Source organism: Homo sapiens, chromosome 8 (genome assembly GCF_000001405.40).
Source record: "Homo sapiens chromosome 8, GRCh38.p14 Primary Assembly".
Classification (NCBI taxonomy): domain Eukaryota; kingdom Metazoa; phylum Chordata; class Mammalia; order Primates; family Hominidae; genus Homo; species Homo sapiens.
The window spans coordinates 7,867,411-7,893,664 of record NC_000008.11 but is presented as its reverse complement, the minus strand read 5'-3'; the positions used below and the strand labels follow the sequence as shown (position 1 = coordinate 7,893,664).

Sequence of the window (26,254 nt, the reverse complement as noted above, 5' to 3'; positions counted from 1 at the left end):
TGGCGGCCCCAGGCAATGGACAGAGCCCCATCCCGGGCACTCAGGAGAGGGCCTTTCTTGGGAAAATGAGTGGCATTCATCCTGGTTCCTCCCTCTTTCGATCTAAGGGCAGTTTGAGAAACAAGCAGGCCCCAGTGTCCATGTCTGTGATGTCTCAGGGGTGCAGCAGTGACAGAGACATGGGGACAATGAGGCTTTCCTCATGACCTGCCTGACCTCTTCATTTAAAATGTCAGGTTCTGAAGAACCCTGATTCCTGGCAGGCCAGAGGTGGATTTAAAGGAAGCTGGTAACGATATTGTGCAGCCAAGATCCTTAATGACATTTTTATAAAAGGAAATTTCTGAGCCTAGCATGGTGGCTTACACCTGTCATCCCAGCACTTTGGGAGGCTGAGGCAGGTGGATCACATGAGGTCAGGAGTGTGAGACCAATTTGACCAACATGGCAAAACCCCATCTCCATGAAAAATACAAAAATTAGCCAGGCATGATGGCTTACGCCTATAATTCCAGGTATTTGGGAGGCTGAGGCACGGGAATCGCTTCCGACAGAGCAAGACTCAGTCTCAAAGAAAAAAAAAAAAAAAGAAGGTTCTGGTGGGGTATGCAAAGAGAGGGCTGGGTCAGATGCTGTCAGAACTGCTAAACAAATATGCATCCAGGACTGGAGCTTAGTCACCAGGGAGTCACTCTGATTGTCAGGGCTTTGTTTCCTTGTGTGCTGAGCAGGCTGGAATTGAGGGGCAGACTCATTCATTCCTGACACTAAAACTATTTCTTCCTGGTGAAGAAAGCATACAGAGAAATGGAATATGAAATAAAGCCTTTATGTGCTCTGCCTAAATTAATATTTTATTTTTTTTTTGTATACTTGCTATGTCACCTTTAGAAAGTAAGAGGCAGCTCTCACTTGCTGCTGATGACCTGCCTCACCATGCACATGTCCTGCCACCACCCCACAGAAATGCTTCCATTACCCACAGTCTTTCACCAGATGAGACCAGTGTCCAGGCTACTGGCTCCTCACCTCACTTGAAGTGATGGTAAAGATGTAAAATTTGGTGCTGATGTCTGAGCCTTAATGCTTCAAAGTGTAGACTTTTTGTCGATGCTGTAGCCATTACAATGGGGCCAAAGGGAAGAACAGTAATTATTGAACATAGCTGGGGAAGTCCCAAAGTAACAAAAGATGGTGTGACTGATGCAAAGTCAATTGACTTAAAGGATAAATATAAAAGCATTGGAGCTAAACTTGTCCAAGATGTTGCCAATAACACAAATGGAGAGACTGGGGGATGGCACTATCACTGCTGCTGTACTGGTATGCTCTATTTCCAAATAAGCCTTCCAGAAGGTTAGCAAAGGTGCTAATCCAGTGGAAATCAAGAGAGGTGTGATGTTAGCTGTTGATGCTGTAATTGCTGAACTTAAAAAGCAGTCTAAACCTGTGACCAAACCTGAAGAAATTGCACAGGTTGCTACAATTTCTGCAAATGGAGACAAAGAAATTGGTAACATCATCTCTGATGCAATGAAAAAGTTTGGAAGAAAGGGCATCATCACAGTAAAGGATGGAAAAACACTGACTGATGAATTAGAAATTATTGAAGGCATGAAAATTTGATAGAGGATATATTTCTCCATACTTTCTTAATACATCAAAAGGTGAGAAATGTGAATTCCAGGATGCCTATGTTCTGTTGCATGAAAAGAAAATTTCTAGTGTCCAGTCCATTGTACCTGCTCTTGAAATTGCCAATGCTTACTGTAAGCCTTTGGTCATAATTGCTGAAGACATTGATGGAGAAGCTCTAACTACACTCATCCTGAATAGGCTAAAGGTTGGTCTTCAGGTTGTGGCAGTCAAAGCTCCAGGGTTTGGTGACAATAGAAAGAACCAGCTTAAAGATACGGTTATTGCTACTGGTGGTACAGTGTTTGGAGAAGAGGGCTGACACTAAATCTTGAAGACGTTCAGCCTCGTGATGTAGGAGAAGTTGGAGAGGTCACTGTGATCAAAGATGATGCCATGCTCTTAAAAGGAAAAGGTAACAAGTCTCAAATTGAAAAATGTGTTCAAGAAATCATTGACCAGTCAGATGTCACAACTAGTGAATACGAAAAGGAAAAACTGAATGGAGAAACTTTCAGATGGAGTAGCTGTGCTGAAGGTTGGTGGGACAAGTGATGTTGAAGTGAATGAAGAGAAAGACAGAGTTATAGGTGCACTTAATGCTACAAGAGCTGCTGTTGAAGAAGGCATTGTTTAGGGAGGGGGTTGTGCCCTGCTTCGATGCATTCCAGCCTTGGACTCATTCACTCCAGCTAATGAAGATAAAATAATTGGCATAGAAATTATTAAAAGAACACTCAAAATTCCAGCAATGACTATTGCTAAGAATGCAGGTGTTGATGGATTTTTGATAGTTGAGAAAATTATGCAAAGTTCCTCAGAAGTTGGTTATGATACTATGTTAGGAGATGTCGTGAATATGGTGGAAAAAGACATTATTGACCCAACAAAGGTTGTGAGAACTGCTTTATTGGATGCTGCTGGCATGGCCTCTCTATTAACTACAGCAGCTGTTGTAGTCACAAAAATTCCTAAAGAAGGGAACAGCCCTGGAATGGGTGCAATGTGTGGAATGGGAGGTGGCCTGTTCTAATTCCTAGAATAGTGCTTTACCTTTATTAATGAATTGTGATAGGAAGCCCAAGGCAGTGTTCCTCACCAATAACTTCAGAGAAGTCAGTTGGAGAAAATGAAGAAAAGGCTGGCTGATGTTTAAGAAACCACTATAACCATCAGTTACTGGTTTCAACTGACAAAATATATAATGGTTTACAGCTGTCATCCATGCCTACAGATAATTTAGTTTGTATTTTTGAATAGAAAGATCTTGTACATTCCTGACACTGGGTACAAGAGCCATGTACTGATGTACTGTTTTCAACTTAAATCACTGAGGCATTTTTTAGTAAAAATGAATAGTAGTCTATTCTGTTAAAATCAGGATTTTAGTGCTTGCAACCACCAAATGAGAAGTTAAGCAGCCTTTCTGTGCAGAGTGAGAATAATTGTGTACAAAGTAGAGAAACTTCCAATTATGTGACAACCTTTGTGTACTAAAAATTTGTTTAAAGTTAAAAAAGAAAGACGCAAACATCATGACACTTCACTGTAATTATCTCAGCAGAATCTCTTACATATGAGGGGACATTCCCACATCAAACACAATACAATTTACACACATTAAGAAAACTAGTTCCTCAATGTTATTTATTATCTTGTCAATATTTCACATTTCTCCAATTGTTCCAACCATGGCTTCATGGCTGTTGATGTTTCTGGATACATGTTTAATCTAGATTTGCACATCAAATCAGGTTGTCATGTCTCTTAATTTGTTGAGTAAATATTCTTAAGGAAATGTCATGGTACTATGAGAAGAACCTTATTGGGGCTTAGAGTTTGAATTAAGGGACTGGTTGCCATCTTTTTCATGTGAGACTTCATTCCTGATCGATACATTCTTAATGACTACTATGCTTAACATTATTATTATAAAAGTAATACACTCACATTTAAAAACTCACCCATAAAAGAGAGTGAATTTTTCCTACACACCTGTTCCAATCCCAGGAACCACCGATAGCACTGTGGTTTTTCACTTGTTGTCCTCTCTAGCTCTCAGTACATTTGTGAGGCCTTGTTAGAGAAGGAGGTGAAATTACTCTGAAATAGGAAAGTCACTGTGAAATGCAGCACCTGTGTCCCTGGGGAAGAAGCCACCAAGGCTTAGGGAATATGTGCCTGGTTGCTCAAGGACAGCTGGGCTGACTGTTCCCATGAAGATTCCTACGGTTGCAGCTGCTTCTTTTCTCCTGGCACAGCCCAGTGTGACTCCTTCACAGCTGTGTTCATCCTAGTGATGAAGTGTGTTTGATAAGGACCAATAGAGGGGCATCTTTGCTTTAAAGGTAGGGTTATGATCTTGCTTCAGCAAGGAAGACCATCCACTGGCAGAACCATGGGGCTCTTCACTAAAACCAGAGATGCAGCAATTCTAGGATTTGGGGACATGTCAAGATTTGGTAAAATATACATGACTTTTCTTTTTCTTAATGAGCTAAAAGCAAAGCCAGGTTGTGTGTAAAATGGGAACCATCAAGTCTAACTGACAAATAGACTCACTATGCTGTCTTTTAATGAAACATGACCTGTGCTGTGTCCCCAAACCTCTCTCTATAACTGGGGAGAGAATTTCAGGCTGTTTCTTTGTGGCAAAATGGTTCAGTTCCCCAGGCAAGAGTGGGAAGCCTCATTCTTATAGATAGGCTCCCAGAAAGCAAACTCTCTCATCTCTATGATTTAGAAAACAAAGTTTCTCTGCATTATGTCCTCAATGTTAAGTAACAGAAGCAGTTTTACTGGTTCTCAATTCTGGAGGCAGAGCCAGCTTCATGGGCTTGAAGGCAGGGCAGTGACACAGGAATCTGCTCTGAGAAGGGCCGGTACCTGGTGTCAGGCTCTGCTGATAGCTCCCTGACTTTCTTAGTTTTTTCTTTGAACTTGTGTTTTTTAAGTGAAGCTTACTGAGGACAATGGAGCAGGCACATGGGCAGAGTGGCTATGAGGGGAGACAAGGTGGGCAGGCTCAGGCCCAGGGACGTTCTAGAGCTTTGCTGCCCTGAGCATAGGCATTCTTGGAGCAGCCCAGGCACATCTGGACTGGGATGGGAGGTGGCAGCAGCAGCAGCAGCAGCAGGTGTCCTCAGCCCTGGGGTGAATGGAGGGTCTCTGTGTGGAGGCAGCACTGACAGCTCTGTGCCTGTGCATTCTCAGAGTCATCCTTGGAGCTTCTGCACAAAGATTTACCCCCTGACCTGAGCACCAGGACAGGAACCATAGGTGCTCAGATAGCAAACTGGGAGGAGAGAAGCACAAAACAAAAGTGTGCCCATGGACATTGCAATAAAGTATACCAGGAAGTTCTTGGAATTCTTCAGAGAGTTTAGAATTCTTTAAGGCATTATCCAAGGCTCAGAAATGGAAATTAAACATGTAATAGTAGTCACATTCAACAGAGAAGGATGCTATATTTGTATAAAACTTCTGATGGGCCAGGCATGGTGGTTCACGCCTGTTATCCCAGCACGTTGTGAGGTTCAGGTCAGAGGATTCCTTGAGGCCAGGTGTTGGATACTAGCTAGGGCAGTATAACTAGACACCATCTCTACAAATAATGATAATAAAGATAATAAAGATTAGCTGGCCATAGTGTCACATGATCGTAGCCTTAGCTTCTTGGGAGGCTGAGGTATGAGGATTACATGAGTCCAGGAGTTTGAGGCTGTAGTGAGCAATGATCGTAGCACTGCACTCCAGCCTGAAAAATACAGACCTTGTCAAAAAACAAAAAACAAACAAACAAAAACCTTCTGATTAATCAATTATGAACAAGGAGGGCAATTTTAAAAATTAAGTTTTTCTTGTTAATAAATACATAGCAATAGAATTCATAAACAGGGGTTTTGAATAAGTTACAAATCATGATGCCATATTGGTCTGCTGTGGGCCTCTGCAACTTACAGAACATGTCAGAAGATGCATCAAAATTCCGCTGGAGAAATTGACACTTAAAATTAGATTCAAATTTACATGAAACTGATTTGTTTAAAGAGTTAAATCTTTTGAGTCAAATTGTTTCACAAGAATCACCAGCTCCAGATATACTAAAATCTGTTTCAAAATAATTTATCCTCATGTTGTCACAGCTTGGAATATATTCCAGAAACAGTTGCTTCAGCAGATTCTTCCCAAAAGATAAAATGAAGTTGCTCAAGGTATAAAGTTTGTTGTCCTAATATATTATTTGACAGAAAAGTGGGCCAGAAAAATTGTATGATTCATCTAAATCCAATTAATAGAGTAGTATTTTTATTCTATTAAAACTATGAAATTAATTTCTGGTGGAGATTTGTAAGATTCTGTCATTACTCCTGTATAACTATTACATTTTTCAAACAATGAAAAATATTTGTTTGAAAAAGCTTAATATCCTACTGCCTTTCATTACACTTTCTTTTTCTGCTCTTTAAACCATGGTACCCTGCATTTCCATTTCGCACTGAAACTTAGGAATTTTGCGGCTAGCCCTGCTATGGCCATTTTTATATTAATTATCTTATTAAATCCTCAGAAACAAGCCTGCCAGGTAGGTATTACGCAAGCTTACAGAGGCAGGTCCTGGGGCATGGAAATGTTGGAGGACACGTTCAAGGTCACCTGGCTACTAAGTGGCAAAGATGCAATTTGAAATAAAATCCCCCTCTCTTCAAAGCCCATGTTCCTAACCAGCGCCACACAATCATCATGGTGTCCTGATAACCTCCCCTCTTCATCCTCCTACAACCCCAAAGCTACAGTAACGCTCTGCCTAAAGCCAAAGTCCATGGAGCTACTGTCACCCTCTTCCATCTTCTGAGCTGAGTGGTGAGTCCAGAGCCTGGGCTGGCCTGGTCTTGCAGGAGGTGAGGGAATGAGCGCGCAGTTACTGCCACCTCGTGGCGGCTCGTCTATATGACCCTAAAACGCAGATGTAATCTGTTTCCTGCCTGCCTGAAGCCTGGGTGTGCACCTGAGACTTACAGTAATTTCTTTACCCCTTAATGAACCTATTGAGAGTTCTCACAATTGTATGGATCCTCTCAAGGAATCAGCTTTTATTTACTAATTTTTAATGTTTTTTGTGTCCAGTTTCTTTTTATTCACTTTTTCTTTTTCTCTTTTTTTTTCTTTTTCTTATTTACTTTGGGTTTAGTTTGTTCCCTTTTCCCTTACCGTTTCTTACAGTGGAAACTTAAATTGTCTATTTGTGAGCTTTTCTGCTTTCTATCATAATAGCATTTAATTATAAATTTGTCTCCAAGAGCCACTTTAGTGGCACTTCCACAAATTTTGATATGTTATGGTTTCATTTTCTATCAGTTGAACATATTTTCTAAAGTATCTTGTGATTTCTCCTCTGGACCATTTAGATACATGTTCATTGATGTCCCAATATATGGAGATTTTTCCAGATGACTCTCTGTATTGATAGTTTTGTAAATTCCACTGTAGATAGACACTGTCTTTTGTATAACTTTAAACTATGTTGATTTTTTGAGACGTTTCATAGGTTAGTATGAGCTCTATTGGGTAATATTTTAATGCATTCTGCTGTTATTTGGTAGAGTGTTCTATAAATCTCAAATAGGTTGTGCTGGACGGTAGCGTTGCTCAAGACTTCTCTACCTTTACTAATATTTTGTCTGCTTTAAAAAATCTCTTACAGGAAGAGAAGTGTTGAATTGTCTAATTGCAATTGCTAATTTGTCTATTTCTTTAATGTCTATTGATTTTTCTTTAAGAATTTCAAAATTCTGTTATTAGGGGCACACACTGATTTAATATTAATATCTGTTCTTGGTGATGTAACCACTTTATCATTAGGAAAAATATCTCTCCCTATTACTGATAATACCCCTTGCTCTAAAATCTACCCTAATTTATGTCAATGAGCCAGTATAGCCAATCCTATTTTCTTTATACTAATGTTTTCATATTATATCTCTTTCCATCCTTTTATTTTTACTCTAAGTTTGTTCTTAAAGTTTATATATAAAGTGGGTTTTTATAGACAGTATGTAGTTGGGTCTTGCTTTTTACTGAACTGACAATCTCTCTCTTTAAGGAGCTTCTAGAATGTTCACAGCATGCTCTTTTCATCATATGGAATCAAATTTCTACCTAGCATCTTCCCTTTCTGCCAAAAAACTTATCTTTGCATTTTATAGTACAGACTGGCTGGTGAGGAATTCTCTTAGCTTTTATTGTTGTTACTGGAAAATGCCTTTACTTATTATTTGATTATGTGTTTACCCTTTTTTTAGAAATATACTTTTGCTGGGGTGGATTTCTAAGAGAACATTTTTTTTCTTTCGGCATTTGAAGATAACACTTAACGTTTTGTTCTTCTGTAAGTAATATGTCTCCTTTCAGACTGCTTTTTAGTTTTATTTTTGTTTTTGAGACGCAGTCTCTCTCTGTTGCTCAGGCTGGAGTGCAGTAGGGTGATCTCGGCTCACTGCCATCTCCGCCTCCTGGGTTCAAGAGATTCTCCTGCCTCAGCTTCTTGAGTAACCTAGGATTATAGGTGCGTGCCACCATGCCTGGCTAATTTTTGTATTTTTTTTTTAGTAGAGACAGGGTTTTACCATGTTGGCCAGGCTGGTCTCAAACTGCTGACCTCAGGTGATCCGCTCACCTTGGCCTCCCAAAGTGCTGGGATTACAGGCATGAGCCGCTGTGCCCGCCCTCAGGCTGCTTTTAAAATTTTCTTTTTATTACTGATTTAAAATAATTTGATTATGATATGTTTCATGTGGTTTTCTTCATGTTTCATATTTCAACTTGGATGTCTTCATGTGGTAAATTTGTGTGTTTATAGTCTCACCAAATTTGGAAAACAATAGGCCATTCCTTCCTTAGCTCTATCCTCTCTCTCAAAACTTTTCTTCTTTTATTCGAGATGGAGTCTTGCTCTGTCGCCCAGGCTGGAGTGCAGTGGCGTGATCTCGGCTTACTTGCAACCTCTGCCTCCCAGGTTTAAGCGATTCTCCTGCCTCAGCCTCCAGAGTAGCTGGGATTACAGGTGCACGCCACCACACCCAGCTAATTTTTGTATTTTTAGTAGAGATGGGGTTTCACCATATTGGCCAGGCTGGTCTTGAACTCCTGACCTTGTGATCCACCCTCCTCAGCCTCTCAAAGTGTTGGGATTACAGGTGTGAGCCACCACGCCTGGCTGTCTAAACACACATAGTTGCTAGATTGCTTGATGTTTCTGCACAGGTCACTGCTTATTATTTTCCAGCCCTTTTCTCCTCTCTTTGTACTATTTCTTCATTCATTTGTAGTAATATAAACTCAGGTTTACTGATCTTTATTTTGGAATATATGCCACAATCCAACTCATAGTATCTTTTACTCAGATGTTTATTTTTAATCTCTGGAAATTCCATTTGTCTCTTTATATCTCTCACTCATCATGAACAGTTTTTCTCTTCAAACTCGGACATATTTATAACATTTATAATAGCTCATTTAAATCTTTTTTTGCTGATCCTAGTATCCTTGTCATTTCTGGATCTGTTTTTACTGAATGATTTTTCTCTTGATTATGACCATATTTTCCTGCATAGCAGCTAATTTTTTATTAGATTCAGTGTGCTATAAAGCACAAACTGTTGAGTGATGGATTTAGTTGTTTTTCTTTGAAGAACGTTAGGCTTTATTCTGTCCCACATTTAAGTTTCTCATAGATCAGTCTGGTCCTTTCAAGAATGGTTTAGAAAAAAATTTGTTAGAGTGGTTGCAGAACAATTTAATCTAGAGCCAAATAGCACTACTACTAATGTGTTAGTTGCCCAAGGACTCTGCAGTCTCTCCACTTTGCTAGTGGGAATGAAAATTTTTCCAGCCTTTAGTGCTCCTAAAATTGTTATCCAATCCCTTTTGGGTGTTTTTCTTTGCCTCTAGCCTTGTGAAGTCTTACCCCAAGCGTGCTCACATGAAAACACAGCCCAGGACTGAAGATTTACCATGTGTCCCTGCCCCCACCACCAACACTTCGGGGCCTTGCTTCCTTCTAGGCAACCTCTCTCTGCTATTCTGCCCTGGAAGTGGGGGTGTCTTGTGCTTTGGGAAGTTTGATTTCAGTCTCTTCAATGCTTCAGGATTGCTGGACTTCGTTTGAGTCTTCCTCTGTGTGCTGTGGTCTGGACCCTGCTGCTGTAGTGAGCTGGGGGCAATCGAAAGTCTCACTTCATTGGTCTGTTGCACTGCTTATTATCCAATGTCTGAACACAGCTGTCACACATCTTGACAGGTTCCCTTTTGTCTGCTGTCAGAGGGAGATTCCCATAGCAGTGAGTCCATTTTGGATGGAAAGTGAGGAGCAGTCTCATCTTTTTGAGCCCTTGAGCCTTTCTTCCTAAGAGCCTTGTTGTATTGTCTTTTCTCCATACGTGGAGCCATGACTGGGGTCTGGTGTCAGGTATGAAAAACCACACACTCCATTTGCTGGAATCCTACTGCATCAACGTTGAGAGAGCACTAGATAGTTAAACTGCAGTACCTCCAAATCATTTGAATGATTAAAGATAATTCAATCAATAAATCGTTTGAATGTACTTCAATTCATAAATACTTGTTGAGCAGCCTTCATGCTCAGGGCACTTTACAAGCAGTACAGGAAGAATTAAGACAAACTCCTTGCTTTTAAGGCTCACAAAGTCTAATATGGAGATTGGCAATATGTCACTGTACGCAATGTAAAAACCAAGCAAGGGTTGTAGATGGAGGACTCAAGTCAGAACCCTGTGGTGAACCAGAGGAAAGACTGTAAGCATTTGGGAAATCACCTGTGTTTTTAAGGTGGAGATAAAATGTGAGACGGTCCCTGAAGGACAGGTTAAAGTTTAGAGATGAAGTTGGAGGAGTGAGGCAGACATGAGGTCAACCAGAGCAGAGGCATGGGTGAGAGAAAGCAAAGTGAATATCTGAGGAAGAGCCAGTTTCCTTATTTCTCTGAAGACAAAGTTTTTGGAAGGAATTGGGATAGCCCCTGAGGGATGCATGAAAACCTTAGAGATAGATTTGGTGGACAGATGCCATTTGGGGTAGAGGGACTGAAAAGGCCCAAGGCTTGGATGACATGAAAGCAAAGGGCATATTCCAAGAGAGTGAAGAGTCCAACTTCACTGGGGCATAACGTTCACAAAGTAGGAATAGAACCTGATAACCCTTGGATAATAAGGTTGGGCTCCCTTATAGATTTCTCCAGAGATTCTACTTTCTTTGAACGAAAGGTGAGTCCTTAAGATTTTCTGAGTTGTCTGTTTGGAAACAAGTACCAAAATAATCAGATTTAAAAAAAAAAATCAAGCTCCTAATTTTTTTTGAAAAAAAAATGTAATTTGATTTTACTTTTATAAACTTTAAGAAGGCATTTCCACACTTTACAACACTCTCGTCATGTTTCAGGGTTTTTATTTCTTTCTTCGGCAGCATTTTCGGCCACGCGTCGAGCACTTGCCGATCTGTTCCTCCTTTGGAAGGCAGCTGAGCACAGCACACCGGCCGCCTCTGACTCTGCAATAATATTTCTGTAATGTGTTTATGATTCCTCCATGACCTGCAATGACAAAACAGCACACACGGAAAGGTTTTAGGAAGGCTTTTGGTACACGTACAAGGCTTGTGGAATTCCTCAAATAACTCATCCCTTGCTTTTCTTGTATTCTTTTGTTTCTTTTTCCTTTTTCTATAAAATCAGGAGGAAGATGAAGGTATGACTACACAACCCATAGACAATGTTTCTAAGGCTGCAGCTCAGCTGTGGACCCACAGTGGCACCGGGGAAGTGGCGTGACCCTGTGACTGCCGCAGGAACAGTGGGGGTGCTGAGGCTGTGGTGTCCTCAGAGGTAGCCCCAACACTCCACCTCCAACCATTGCACTTAGTAGAACAGGAGCCTGTGCTTCTATTCTCAGAGTAAATCAATCTTTCCTGCTACATTAAACTTTTATGTCTGATTCATGTCTCATCAGCTGGTATAATAATCTTCCCTTGAAGAGTTGGGGAAAGAGATAGCTTTGGGGAGCTATTTAGTTTCTTAATGATTCTTTTCTTTTTTTTTTTTTTTGAGGTGTACTCTCACCCTGTCACCCAGTCTGGAGGACAGTGGCGTGATCTCGGCTTACTGCAACCTCCGCCTGCCAGGTTTAAGCAATTCTCTGCCTCAGCCTCCCGAGTAGCTGGGATTACAGGTGCCCGCCACTGTGCCCAGATAATTTTTGTATTTTTAGTAGAGATGGGGTTTCACCATCTTGGCCAGGCTGGTCTTGAACTCCTGACCTCGTGATCCGCCCACCTCGGCCTCCCAAAGTGTTGAGATTACAGGCATGAGCCACCGCACCTGGCCTCTTAATGATTCTTGTCTGAAAAAAAAGTGGTGATGCCTAGTTCCCATACAACAAACCTGCTTGGTCCAAAGCACTCTGAAGGATGGAGAAATACTGACTCTGAATTATATATTCTCAATTAGATCAATCCTTAGATTTCCCAGCCCATCTTACCTGGAACAGGCACCAAAAACAGGAAGAGCAAAGCAAACAGAAGATAATGGATCCTCATAGCTGCTAGGCTTCACCCCACGCTGAGACTGGATGAAAAGGTGTGCTTGGTCACTTTATAAAGGTTCCAGCCACAGCTGCAATTCTTGTCATATTACAGTGATGACATTATGACATGTTTTCTGATGCATCATTCCAATGCCTCTCACCATGCAGAACACACCCACTCACTCAGTTAATTAGGAACCCAATGGTAAGGCAGAGCTCCCTATGGATTTGTGGCTGTCCGGGTGCTCTCTGGACTCCAGGGGCTTGTCTGGGTGTGGGTCAGATTGGGTTGTGGGTACAGATAGGGCTGGCATGAGCAAGTATGCCCCCTTTGGGGAATAGTCTCAGGGCATGTGGCTGGGGGCTGACTTGTCCGTACTTTGCTGCTTTGGAGCTTTTTTTCTCTTCCTAAAATGCTGGGAGAGTCTAAGACCCTCCTGGGGACCAAATAAATCCAGCCCTGGACATATTCAATATCTGGCAATAGGACTGGCTTTTTGGTAGTGAGGTAAGGGAGGAAAATGGGCTACATTCAAGGTTAGCTGACCACCTGGCCCTTGGCCTATGATGGGGTGCTATAATTTGAGTGAAACATGTCTCATTCTTTCATTTTTTTTTTTTTTTTTTGAGAGACAGAGTCTCACTTTTTTGTGCAGGCTGGAGTGCAGTGGCATGATTACAGCTCACAACAGCTTGAGCTGTCAGGCTCAAGAGGTCCTCCCACTTCAGCCCCCTGAGTAGCTGGGACCACAAACGCATGCCTCCACACATGGCTAAATTTTAAATTTTCTGTAGAAAATAAAATGGGGTCTCACTATGCTGCCCAGACTGGTTTCGAGCCCAGATGTGAACTCCTGGGCTCAAGCAATCCTCCTGCTTCAGCCTCCTAAATTGCTGGGATTACTGGTATGAGCCACTGTGTGCGGCCCATGTCCGATTCTTCATCATTGTCTAAAACCTACCAAATTTATGAGTAAAGAAGGTGTTTAATTTTACTTCATCAGAGAAAGAGGATGCTGGGATGATAGATTTAATAGACTGGCATCTCCTCCTAGTCAATGACTGTCCCTGTGCAAAAGAGGGGCTTCAGAATAGACATTTAAGACCTCAAGTTACTCTTGGCTCAGGAGCATTCAAGGCAGTCCAGGGGCCAGATGATTTCCCCTGCATATAGATTCAACGTTTAGAGGGAAAAATGCTAAAAAAGAAAAAAAAAACAGCTATTAAACTTAAATGTTCAGGAATCCAATGGATGGGTTGTATTTGGTTGACTATCAATTGGGAACTAAGTAAGTCAATGACAATTCAATTGGGAGCTGAAGTCACCGTGATGTCTCCTAGCTGCTGCTTCGTGTGAATGCAATTATAACGGATCCACTAAGGATCAAGGGTGTGTTAGTTCTGGGAGTGTGTGTTCAGAATTTGGGTGCACCACACCTGTCAGATTCAGTAAGAAAACTCTGAACACATACTATAGGAAGGGACAAGTATCATGTCTTCAGCATAGGTGAGGGTGAAGTGGATGAGATACCAAGAGGGACCAGTCTTGGTTCTTTCTCTCCAGAAGCTCCATGTAGGGCCAGGTAGATGGGCAGACAGTCAAATGATAAATTTAGGATGAATTCTAATGGGAGTCATAGGAAGATTTCAAGCACAGGGCTGCAGAAACGTAGAAGAAAGATAACTCATCATAACTCAAAGATAACTCTTTGAGCCAAGAGTGGAGCTCAATCAGCAGATTTAAGACTTTAGATAGGTAGATGCTACTTTTTAAAATCTAACTTTCCTCTTTAGTTCATGATTTGAGACAAAGCAATTGGAGATATTTATAAATGGGGGAAGGAGGTGAGTGTGGGTGGGATGGGTGCTGACTTCACAGTCTTACTATGTCAGACATAACGATGGCATTGGGCGTTGTAGAGGGTTAGCACCAGCTCTCAGCCTGGGGTGAGGACAGTCAGACGCTGGAGATGACTTGCTTTTCCACATGGAGAATAGACTTCCACAGGTGAACCCCTGGTCTAACCTGTTCCTTCATAGACTGGGAGGCATTTTTATGGCAACACCACTATTTCATAAAAGTTCCTTGGTGAGGAAAAATGCCACTTTTTCTTGTCAACTAGTTTGGGAGCTGGGAATTGGAGATTGGGCTGTGACAATCAGCCTTTTCAAGTTTGGACATACTCCAGACACACAAAATCCGTTTTGAGGGGGACTTACCTGTTTTAAGAAAATTATAAAAGTAATGCATTTTTATGGTAAAATTTCAAACAATAGAAGAGAGAGACTGTGTAATTTACTTCTCTACTCCAGGGAGCCACTGACAACTGTGAATTGTCCTCTTTTTGGCTTATTATAATCCTTTTTATGTCATAAATACTTTTAGCCTCTCAAATGATAACAAGTACACGTGTGCTGTCTAATAGTTGGGTGAATAGATTCATGTGTCTGAAGCCACACAACACTAACGACAGCTGGGTCTTGTCACTCCCTGCCCCTGGGCTCTGAGTCACAGCACTTGGAACTGCAGATCCTGCAAATTTTTGTACCCATGTGCTTGGTTTCCTTGTAGCTCTCACAGCCAGCATTTTGACATTTTGATTAGGTTGAGCAAGGAAGAGAAACTTTAGTTATTTATCACCTTTGTTCATGTCAGACTTTCCTTTAATTATTATTTTTTAAATCCTGTTCTTAAAATGTGGAGCTGAGATGTGATTGGTCCAAGTTTGTGGCAGAAGGGCAGAGCTATGTAGAAGACAAACACCAGGTCTGAAGTGAGGCGTCATTGGGCCATCACTCAGCCCTACCGTGTATGGCGTGGGTTTACCTGAATAAATTACCTAAGCTCTGTGAGCATCTGTAACTCAGCAACAAAGCACAGAGAGCAGTACATTTCCTGTTTAGGTCACAGTGAAAGCCCTATGAGTTAATGGTGTGAAATTGACTTGTACATTGCAAATTACCATGTGACCCATGTATCACCCAAGTATCACCCACGTGACCCTCGGTTAACAATATCAAGACTCTGGCATGGGCTCCCAGCACGGGAATCCAGGGTGTCAACTCCTCTTCATCTTGACATAGTCTAAGATGAAGGTTGGCTCAGCCATTCTCCTTTGCAGCCATTAATCTTGTCACAACCACCATTATATAAGTTATACAAATAAAGGCAGACATTTTTCCAATTTTATAGATGAAGACACTGAGGCTCAGAGAGGTTGAATGACATGCTGTAGTGAATTGCAGCATTGTGACCTGAAGCCAGCATGTCCAGTCATTTCTCTGCCTGCTCTCAGAGTCATCCCTTGACTATTGGTGATCTACACTCATGTGTAGTGGTCTATACTTAGGTGTGTACCCTTTTCCATCACCCCATTGTCCCTAAATTCTTTGCATCCTAGCATCTCAAGAAATCTGTCCAAACTACTCTTCCTAAGTCCAGCCAAGCCTTTTACATCCCCAGCTCAATGAGTTTTTTGTCTGTAATCTTCCAACCTGCCCGTTTTGCAACATGTGCCTCGTAAGGCCACTTTCAGAAACCTATCCCTCAATTTCAATTCAACGTCCAGAGAACTTCATGGACATCTGCTCTGTATTAGGGTCTTAGGACCTGGTGCTGTGCAGGAAAGAAAGATAAACAATATTTACTCTCTAGGCTCTGAATTTTCACTATTTCCTAGTCTAATGGAAAAAGATACAAGCTGACAGTAACACGATATAACAGACATCCGCTTTCCATTGTCTCCTCCTATCCTTCCCATTACTGCCTTTGATTCATCATGGAAGTTTTCCTCCTTCTCCTGTCCCTGAAGTCCCCAAAAGGGAACATCTTCAAGAATTTAACATTTTCATGGCAATCATAATGATGATGATGATAATGATCCTCCTCCTTATCATCATTGTCACGTCATTGTAACAGATCTATTGAGCACATATTATGTTCTAGACACTGTGCTAAGCAATTTACTTGCATTTATTTCATTTGAATCATGCAGTAATTTAATAATGTTGATACACTTATCTGCATTTCCCAAATGGGGAAAGGCCAGTTGATGCTCCCATGTTCCTAACTGTATTCCAGATGCTTACTCGCGGGCCTCTGCTGGCTTCATATGATCTTTGGGATGTGGTTATCTATGCCTGCATGCAGCTACCTTCCATCTTCATCTCTAGTCTGGACCATTTCCCCAATGTTCTCAACCAATCTTTACATCACTTTTTCTGTAAATATCAACTTCACTCTCCAAATTGCTTGGTGATAGATGCTGGAAACTAGGTTCTTTCTGACTCTTCTTTCTTTTTTTGGAGGGGGGGACAGAATCTCACCCTGTCTCCCAGGCTGGAGTGAAGTGGCACAATCTTGGGTCACTGCAACTTTCACCTCCCGGGTTCAAGCGATTTTCCCACCTCAGCCTCCCAAATAGCTGAGACTATAAGTTTGCACCACCATGCCCAGCTAATTTTTGTATTTTTAGTAGAGACAGGGTTTCACCACTTTGGCCAGGCTGGTCTTGAACTCCTGATCTCCAGGGACCTGCCCTCCTCGCGCTCCCAAAGTGCTGGGTTTACAGCCATCAGCCAATTCTTTCTACAAAGTGGTTTGCATAATTTTCAGGGACCAACTCAAATACCAGTTCCTCATGATCTCAATCACCCCAGTTGAAAGAGATCCCTCCCTCCTCTGCAGTTCTGCAGAGCACATTTTGCATGACACTTGGAGCTTCTACCAAGTTCCATAATGAATGCCATATACTATTTGTGAACATTTCTTATTATCTTTAATAGATGGTGTCTTTTCATTTATGTCCTTATATTAATGAGAAAGTATATACTCAAGTCCTATGTTGCTTTCACCCTTTAGATAATAAGAATTATTTTCAAATCCTAGAGTATCTCCTAGGATGCTCAGGATGAATATCACAAAGAAGAAATACTTCCAGAAGAGCAAGGAAATAGGGAGAGAACAGTAGCAGCTAATGCAAAGACAACAAATGATTTACAACATGAGAACAATCTGAACACACTTATGGTTTAACAAAACATAAATAAATTCGTGAGATACTGAGTGTGGCAGGCAGCCACTGCAATGGCCCCCAGTAACCCTTGCCTTTAGGGAATGCTGGTATCGTGCTTTGGTGCAGATATGATATGGAGGGTGGAGCAGAGGCTTATGAGACTGAAGGCCAGAAGACCAAGAGCTGAACTCAGGTCTGCTGTGTTTCGGATGCCAGTGGGAGAAAGAGGCAGACCTGAGTGCCAGAGCCATCTAGAAGAAGCAATCAAGAGTTAATACAATGGTTGAGCATGAGAGAAGCAATTAAGAGAGGAGGCAGCCTAGGGATACTGTTCAGGGGACAGGGTAGGTGGCGGTCCCATCAATTAGAATTAAAGTGGTGATGCCAGCAGGCACTGAGGGAGACATGCTATGGAGAGAGAGCCAGGCTTAACATATGGCATCTTTTTAAAACAGGCTCAAACTAGTTTAGGAATTTACAGGCTTAGCAGTGATGTGGGGTTGCATGCCTTTCCCAGAGTTTCTAAAATCATGCCTGACAAGATGGGGACTGACTCTCCTAATTCCTATAGGCAAAATCAAGGAGGGGATAAGTGTATGAGAAATTCATATAAAGCTACCCTAAAGACATTTTTCTACCCATTTGGCAGCAATATTTTCACCACAAATAGAATGAAGTGCATAATACTACCTCACCTTCTGTTTACACTGGGTAACTCCAACCGGGTTCTTTCTATTTAATCATGGCCCTGTCCCAGTAAAAACACACCCTATACTACCTCTGGCCACCAGCCTACACAGTTCTGATGGCTGCTTCCTCAGGGAGGACTTTTAGGGGACAGGTGGCTCTTACAAAGCAATCATGAGCTCAACTCATCAATGGGCTGGCAGCTGAGGTGGGGAAGTGATGCATCCAAGGCAAAAGGTGTGACCCAGGGGACTTTTTGTTAAAACAGGTCGTCTGCCACTATCCTTTCTTCAGAACTGGTAATTGAAATGAGCCTATTGACTGATGTGGTAATAGGCCATGGATGACTATTAAATGATTTGCACATGGTGGCTAGTATCTATGGAGCTGTTATTACGTACCTGGCATGGCAATGGTGCTTTAATGCATTTCTCTGACAAAAAAAGGCATAAAGTAGGTATCAGAATTTTTACTTAAGGATAAGGAGGAGGCACAGTGGCTCACACCTGTAATCCTAGCACTTTGGGAGGTCAAGGTGGGTGGATCTCCTGAGGTCAAGAGTTTGAGACAAGCCTGGCCAACATGGTGAAACCCAGTGTCTATTGAAAATACAAAAATTATCTAGAAGTGGTGGCGGGCACCTGTAATCGTAGCTACTTGGGAGGCTGAGGCAGAAAAGTTGCTTGAACCTGGGAGGTTGAGGTTGCAGTGAGCCCAGATCACGCCATTGCACTCCAGCCTGGGTGACAGCAAAACTCTGTTTCCAAAAAAAAAAAAAAAAAAAGATTAAGGAAACTAAGGCTAAGACAAACGAAATAACTTTCTAAAATTTGAAGCCCAGGACCATCAGGCTCACAGATTATGCTAACTACTTGCTTTATTATTCAGGTTATTGTAGTTATATTTTATATCCATGTTTCTGTCAAAGGTTTTTGGTGTGGGGTTTCCCAGTGGAAAGGTAAATGATTATATATGGTGGAGAATAAATGAGAGAGGGCTTGGGGAATGGAAGCCACACCTCACCCACTTGGCTCAGACCACAGGGCTACTCCTGTTTTGAGAATTTCCAGCTAACTGCCTTATAAAATTACATAGCATGGTATTTATGGTGCTAGAGCACCAAGAAAAATTCAATAAAATGATGAATTTGACATCTCTGACTCAATCTCCTCTTCCATATTTTTCAAGAGGTTTTATGATTGCATATATTAGGGGCCAGCAAACCTTTTCTGTAAAGGGCTAGACAGTAAATATTTCTAGGCATTGCTGGCCATGTGGCTTCTGTTGCAACTACTTAATTCTGCAGCTATAGTACAGAAGCAGTCATAAACAATACATAAACAAATGGCCATGGCTTTGTTCCAATAAAAATTTATTTATAAAACTGGGTGGCAACTGGATTTAGCCAGCAGTCCATAGTTTTCTGACCCCTGGCATAAATTTATGAGACACTGAGTGTGGCAGGCAGCCTCTACGATTGCTGCCAAGGATTCCTGTCTTTGTGAAATGCTGTGATTCATGCTCTGGTGTAAGCCACTCCTTTTGATTATGAGCTGGCCTCATTCACTCATTTCTAATAAATAGATTATAAGTCTATGAAGCAATAGATTATAACCTAATCTCAGAAGTCATGAGAGTAAGCTATAAAAAGGCTGTGGGTTCAGTTTTGGATGCCTTCTCACTCTTCTTGCTCTTGTGGAAGCCTGCTGCCATGTTTTGAGTCGCCCTATGGAGAGACCTACAAGGCAATGAACTGAGGGGCTTCTCTGGCCAACAGCTAGTCAGTCACTAAGGCTCTTAATATACCAGCCCACAGGGAACTAACTCCCTCCAATAACCATGTGAGTGAGTTTATGGAAGTAGATCCTTCCCTGTGTAGGCTTCAGATACAAATGCAGCCCTGGCTGACAGCTTAACTGCGACTTCATGACTGAGCTTGATCTAGAAGCACCCAGCTGGGCCATGCCTAGTTTCTACAATCCACAGAATGTGTGAGATAACAATGTTTCTCGTCTTCATCCACTAAGTTTTGGGATAATTTGTTATGCAGCAATGGATAACTAATATAGTGAGGTATAGTGCAAAGAATGGAAGAGATTTAGAGACCTATGTTTCAGTCCCAGTTTTTTTACAAATTTGCTATGTAAATTTAGACTAACTGTTGACCAAGTCTAGCCCTTCCATTTTTTATTCTGCCTACAAAAGGGAAAGGAATCATGGATTTCTGAGGTCATTACAGGTCTAAGTCTTCATGGTTCATTGAATTGTCAAGCTGATTCCTGCATCTAAACCAGAGTCTTGAATTGGAAGCCCATGAGTAAAATATAGTCCATCGAAGTATTTTGATATTAGGTGTCAACATTTAAAACACTAAAAATTTTGCATAAAAATTCAGTTTTCTGACTTCCTCAGAAAAATTCAATGATTAAACCACCAGGGCCCACGTTTCTACATGTAACACTGAGATTTATCCAAAAATCTCTTGTCCCGTTACATCACAGGTCCCCAACCTCTGGGCCATGGACCAGTACCCGTCCCTGGACTGTTAGGAACCGTGCCACACAGCATGAGGTGGGTGACAGGCAAGTGAGCGAAGCTTCATCTGTATTTAAAGCTGCTCCTCATCACTTGCATTACCACCTGAGCCCCACCTCCTGTAAGATAAGTGGCAGCATTAGATTCTCATAGGACTGCAAACCCTATTGTGAACTGTGCGTGCCAGGGATCTAGGTTGCATGTTTCTTATAAGAATCTAATGCCTGATGATCTGTCACTCTCTCCTATCACCCCCAGATAGAGCTCTTTAGTTGCAGGAAAACAAGCTCAGGGCTCCCACTGATTCTACACTATGATAAGTTGTATAATTATTTCACTGTATGTTACAATGTAATAATAGAAATAAAGTGCACAATAAATGTAATGCACTTGAATCATTCCAAAACCATCTCCCCCACCTTGGTCCATGGAAAAATTGTCTTCTACAAAGCTAGTCCCTGGTGCCAAAAAGGTTGGGGACAGCTTCCTTACATAGAATATGAGTGCTCCAATGCACTGCAGTACCCAATTCCTTACTATCTCTCACTGGCCTGGCTCTGATGGTCTTTGGAGAACCACTTGAATGATGCTTATTTTGAGATCTTCCCTAAAACAGAGAAATTATGTTCTTTTACCATCTGCTTGTATCTTGGGTCCAGGACACTGGCCAATTTTTATTTCAATATGGCCTTTGCGAAGTTCTGTGATGTCATAACATCTAGATCCACAAGTCCCGCTCACACAAACTTCAGGGAAATCCCAGATCAGAGCCACATATTCTTACATTAGAACATTAGAGCTCTTATGTTCTTCTCTCTCTTCCTCACATCTAGAATACATCTTATCCCTCCCTCTTTACAGAAAAAGACACACACTTCTACATACACACACACATTTCTAGTTTCACACCATTGTGGTTGGTAAAACATACTTCATATGATGTTAATCTTCTTAAATTTATTAACTTGTTTTGTGGCCTCACATGTTATCTACTCTGGAAAATATTCTACGTGCCCTTGAGAAGAACGTGTATTCTTCTGTTGAATAGAATGTTCAGTATATGTCTGTCAGGTCCATTTGGTCTTTAGTGTTGTTCAAGTCCACTGTTTCTTTGTTGTGTTTCTTTCTAGATGACCTATCCAATGTTGAAAGTGGGGTGTTGAAGTCTCTGATATTACTGAATTGCTGTTACTCCTTTCAGTTCTCTAAATCTTTGCTTTATATATTTATAATTGTTTTATTTTCTTGATGAATTGACCACTTTATCATTATATAATAACTTTATTTGTCTCTTGTTACAGCTTTTGACTTAAAGTCTCTTTTATCTGATGTAGGAACAGCCACTCTTGCTCTTTTTGGTTACCACTTCCATGGAATATTTTTCCCATCCCTTTACTTTCAGCCTGTGTGAGTCCTTCTAGCTAAAGTGAGTCTCTTGTAGACAGCATATAGTTGGACCTTGCTTTTTGATACATTCAACCACTTTACATGTTTTGATTAGAAAATTTAATCCATTTACATTCAAAGTGATAGGTAATGACTTACTATTGTCATGTTGTTAATTGTTTTTCTTTAGTGTTTGTAGTTCCTTTGCTTATAAAATCAATGCACTATTTTTTTTCTCTTTGTTAACTTCAGATCTCAGAGTATATTTAAGAATATCACATCTTTGAGCAGTTGCCCATTAATTCAATCTCAAAACTGGGCATCTTCTTTAAGTCATGCTATGAGTTCCTCATGCCATTCTGTGCAATGGCAAACCAAAAATGTGTTTTAGTTTTTCTCAAAAACACATTGAAATCTCTTTATCTAGTTTTTGGAGACGGAAGATTATAGGAGTGGAAATCAGTACCCTCCTGTTCTCTATTCCTCTCTGATACAAGCATGTGCACAGAGGTGGTTTTTGGCATTTCTCCATTTCCTGGGGACAGCTTCTTTGAAAAGGAAGTCTTTTTCTCTATTTTTATTTCCATAAAGGCTACTCAGCCAAATAAATGAGGTAGCTGTTTCTTTCCCTACCCTGCAATCTATTTGTTCTTTTTTCAAGGTTCCAACTTCTTCTTACCTTTTTTTCCTTTTTTCCAGGAAGAAAAAAAATATTTAATTTGATCCTAACTTGAAGAATCCAGGTTCAACACCTCCTGAGATACAAAAAGAGGGTGACAGTGTACCTTAATGATCCAAGAAGGCATGAGGTGGAGCAGGAAAGAAATCAAATGCTACTTTGGTGAACAATGAGATCCTAGCTCTTGGGGAAGTGAGAAGCATCTCAGTAATCAGGGAAATATTTCTTTCTTCACTTGGGGTTGAGACTGTACTGTCCTCACAACCTAACATTTGTCCTGGGGAGTTGTACAGATGTTCTATCTAACAGGTTCATGAGCTAAGAAATAAGTTTGTTTGCACTCACCCTGGTGGGCATGCATGGAGACAGCCTGAGGGTTCGACCAGTACCCAGTAGACAAGGCATTTTAGAGAACTCAGCCCCTCAGGCTTAATGTTCTCTGGAGCTTGGGTGTCACTAGATACCCATGATATTCCTGCTGCTATTCTCAGTGACTGCTCCAGCCTGTTTAAGCGAAGGGAAAGAGGTGCTGGAACAATCAAGTGGTGTCCTCACTGCTGGCAGGTGGGAGGGAGGGAGTGAAGGAGAGCGGTGAAGCAAGACTGCACTCCCAAGCAGTGAAGGAGAGAAGGAGGGTGAATGAAGGAGGAGGACAACTTGGGGTCAAGAGACTGAGGCTGGAACACGTAAGAGCCCACTGGCCTTTTAAAGGACCTAAGCAAAGAAACTTCCCTTTTGGAATCTGGGAAAAGCATTAATTTTCCAGACTTTAATTTGTTGCCCTTCTTTGATGAAATCTCCAGAAACTTTGATAAAATGTTCTGTTTGTACTGCATAGGTCTCGTACAAAAGTGTAAGGGAGTTTGAGGGAACTTTTGGTCAGGGGAGGGTGACTGTGGTCCACTGCAACCCTCCTGTGTGCTCCTGGAGAGAGGGCATCATCTTTTACATGGAGGTGACCACAGCAGAAGACCATGACCCCCAGCAGGGCCTCGGTTCCAGGCAACGCTCACAACACATAGGAGGACCCAGAAACACTTTGTTCAGGAAGAACCACAACTCTGTACTTCAAGCAATGGTTCTGAGCTCTGGATGCAGAATGAACACAATGAGGTATCTTAATAATAACAGCTAAAGATCCACCCCAGACAAGGAAGTCACATCACTGCAGGAGGTGCCTTGGCATAATATTTAATTTTCAAAAGCAGCTGAGATGGGGATGAGAACCAGAGGATTAGAGGAAGATGACTCCTTAAGGATGAGGACACTCATCTGGCTTAGAGACACAACCTGGCCTGTAGCTGATACCGTCTGCACCTCAGGCTCCTCCCTGTAAAACAACTCAGTGTCAATGGTAAACTCAAATGTGAAGCTTTTCCAGTTCCTTTGGTTTTGCTCACCTGTGACGTGCACCACACCTAGCATCGAACATCGCAGCTGAATATTCAGTCCTGAGTCACCATGACTCTGCCATCAGCTGGTCAGGCAGATGAGAATTCCAGGAAGCCCGAGGCTGGCGCATCCCCCTGCCGGGAAGGGACCTAGCCTTTGCCCTGTCTCGTGGTGTGAATGTGCATTCCTGGTGCTGAGATTGCCCAGCCACCTTTACTCCCAGTCATGCTAGAGTCTGCCAGGCTTTCCTCACCTGGAGGAGGACACATGAGTCTTGTGGGAGGAATTGGATAGAAAGACACCCCCCTTTAGAGGAAGAAGGATGGAGAAGCACAATGATGCCGAAATGCTGCCTTCCAAGACTTCTTCAGCTGTAGCAACTTTCCCCACTTCCAGGCACTACCACATGCCTGGTCAATCCTACAGAGAGGCTGAGAGTCTCTTTGTCACCTGGTCCCCCCATTGCTGCCCCTCTACCCGGCCTGGCAGCTGATGCTTCCCTCCATGGGCTCCCCCACCCAGGATCTAGGCGCTGAGTCAACTGGGAGGCAGGAAGGGAGGACAGAGTCCCTTTGACTCTCCCCACATTCTGGTGGGGCTGATCTGTCACTCTTCCGGGTGCCAGCCACTGGGCTAGTTCTTAACTTCCTTCCTTCATTTCTTCCTTCCTTCCTCCCAGTTTCATTCCTCCCTCCTTTTCCTCCTTCTTTCCACAAACATAGGCATCGAGCTAAATATTCAGGAAAATAAATGGTGCACAGGTCACAGGCTCTGGGTGGCACAGGAGTCTGTAGAGGACAGCAGACACAGGAGGCAGTTGCATGGTGACAGACTCCAGCTCCAGGTGGGCCCAGCAGTGGAGGAGTCACAGGAGCGGCAGCCAGCCACATTCGGGCCTGAGTGTCAGCTTCCCGGAGAAAGTGTAGTCAGAGCTGCAAGCTAAAGGGTGAACAGGGGAAAATGTGAGCAATGCCCCAGGTGTAGGAACCAGAGGGTACAAAACTGGAAAATAAAAAGCATGTGAGTTCAGGAATTTAAAATACCTTGGGGCTGGAAGTGGTGGCTCAACACCTAAAAAAACTAGCAGTGTGCAATGGTGCATGCCGGTGGTCCCAGGTATTTGGGAGGCTAAGGTGGGAGGAGCACTTGAGCCCAGGAGGTAGAGGCTGCAATAAGCGGTAACAGTGCCACTGCACTCCAGCCTGAGCAACAGAGTGAGTCCCTGTTTCAAAAAACAACAACAAGAAAAAATACTTTGGGCTGGTTGGAGATGAACAAGGCAGCAGTTCTGGCTGGGGAGTTTAGCGGGGGCTTCTGTACAAGGGGTCTTGGGGACCCTATTGGGAAGTTTGGGGCTAACCAGGAGGACAGTGAGCAGCTTGTGATGGGGTTTAGGCAGTCAATGCGGGGGTCAGACTAGGCTTCAGGACAGTCAGCCTGGTACCTAGGGAGGCCTGGGAGCACCAGGCTCAGCGTCAGGGAGGCTCTTGACCTCCTTCCTGTCTGGTGCCCATCGCCCCTTTACGGGCCACCTGGCTTTGGTTTGGATGTCTCCGTCTTGCTTTTAGACCAAAACCGGTGGCTGAATCCATGCCCAGGGCCTGGGACCTGGCTTTGCTCTCTGCTGGCCTCCCTGTGCTTGCTCATCGAGTCTTTCCCACTTGTCATTTTCAGTTTCCATGCTGTACCCAGGATCCTACCATAGGAAGGAAGCCAGTTCGCTCTGCTACATTGAATTTATGCGTCTCTCTTGCTTTTCTGCACCATGCAGACCCACTCGGGGACCAGGGGAGCCTCCTGTAGTGATGGGTCTCATGTCTGAGCCTGACCCTTCTCTCTCCCTGCAGCCCTGCATTGGAGTCCCAGGACACGAGAAGCTGGCAATTCAAGGCCTGACAACAGGCTTAAGCCAGTGTCTAGAGGCATGGAACTGTGCCTCTAGTTCCATTTATATTTTTGAGTGGGAAATATGAACAGTGGATTCAAACCTCTCCTTGGAAGTTCAAATGACAGGAGGAGAAGCCTGCTATGCTAACATGGATCAAAGGGATGGAGACTTTTGAGTGTAAAATCATCCACCGGCTTCTCCCAATACCCACTGCTGGGACAGACACAAATCTCCCTCCTTCCAGGACCATCTTGCCAGGCTCCTGTCTGCTTCCTTCTCCTGAGACAGGGCAGGGGTCCCTTATCTCTTAGTCTTGAGGTGAGCTGTGAAATACCTTGAGATGGCTTCCCAGAGCGGCATGGAGCAAAGCTCACAAGTCATTTTCCACCCTGCCCAAATCCAGGAACACATGCATTTGGCAGAAACCCCAACTCCTTTCACA

The 26,254-nt window shown here is 42.6% G+C and overlaps 1 protein-coding gene and 2 pseudogenes across 1 annotated transcript; 1 reads left to right on the top strand and 2 right to left on the bottom strand.

The window, feature by feature from the left end:
* Positions 1–26,254, bottom strand: part of LOC124901865 (translation initiation factor IF-2-like) — a 451,468-nt pseudogene that overhangs the window by 171,527 nt on the left and 253,687 nt on the right.
* On the top strand, positions 908–3,150 carry HSPD1P2 (heat shock protein family D (Hsp60) member 1 pseudogene 2; annotated as a pseudogene).
* Positions 11,002–12,273, bottom strand: DEFB103A (defensin beta 103A). Its single transcript, NM_001081551.4, has 2 exons — positions 12,186–12,273; positions 11,002–11,242 (listed from the first exon to the last, which is right to left on the bottom strand). The coding sequence occupies exons 1-2, from the start codon at positions 12,241–12,243 to the stop codon at positions 11,097–11,099; spliced, it is 204 nt and encodes a 67-aa protein (NP_001075020.1). The 5' UTR covers positions 12,244–12,273; the 3' UTR covers positions 11,002–11,096.

What these genes read in the sequence shown, in the direction of transcription:
- DEFB103A (NM_001081551.4), bottom strand. Translation starts at nt 12,243, where the DNA reads ATGAGGATCCATTATCTTCTGTTTGCTTTGCTCTTCCTGTTTTTGGTG. An exon ending in GTTTTTGGTGCCTGTTCCAG is followed by an intron (nt 11,243 to 12,185) that starts GTAAGATGGGCT and finishes TTGTCATTGCAG; the next exon opens with GTCATGGAGGAATCATAAAC.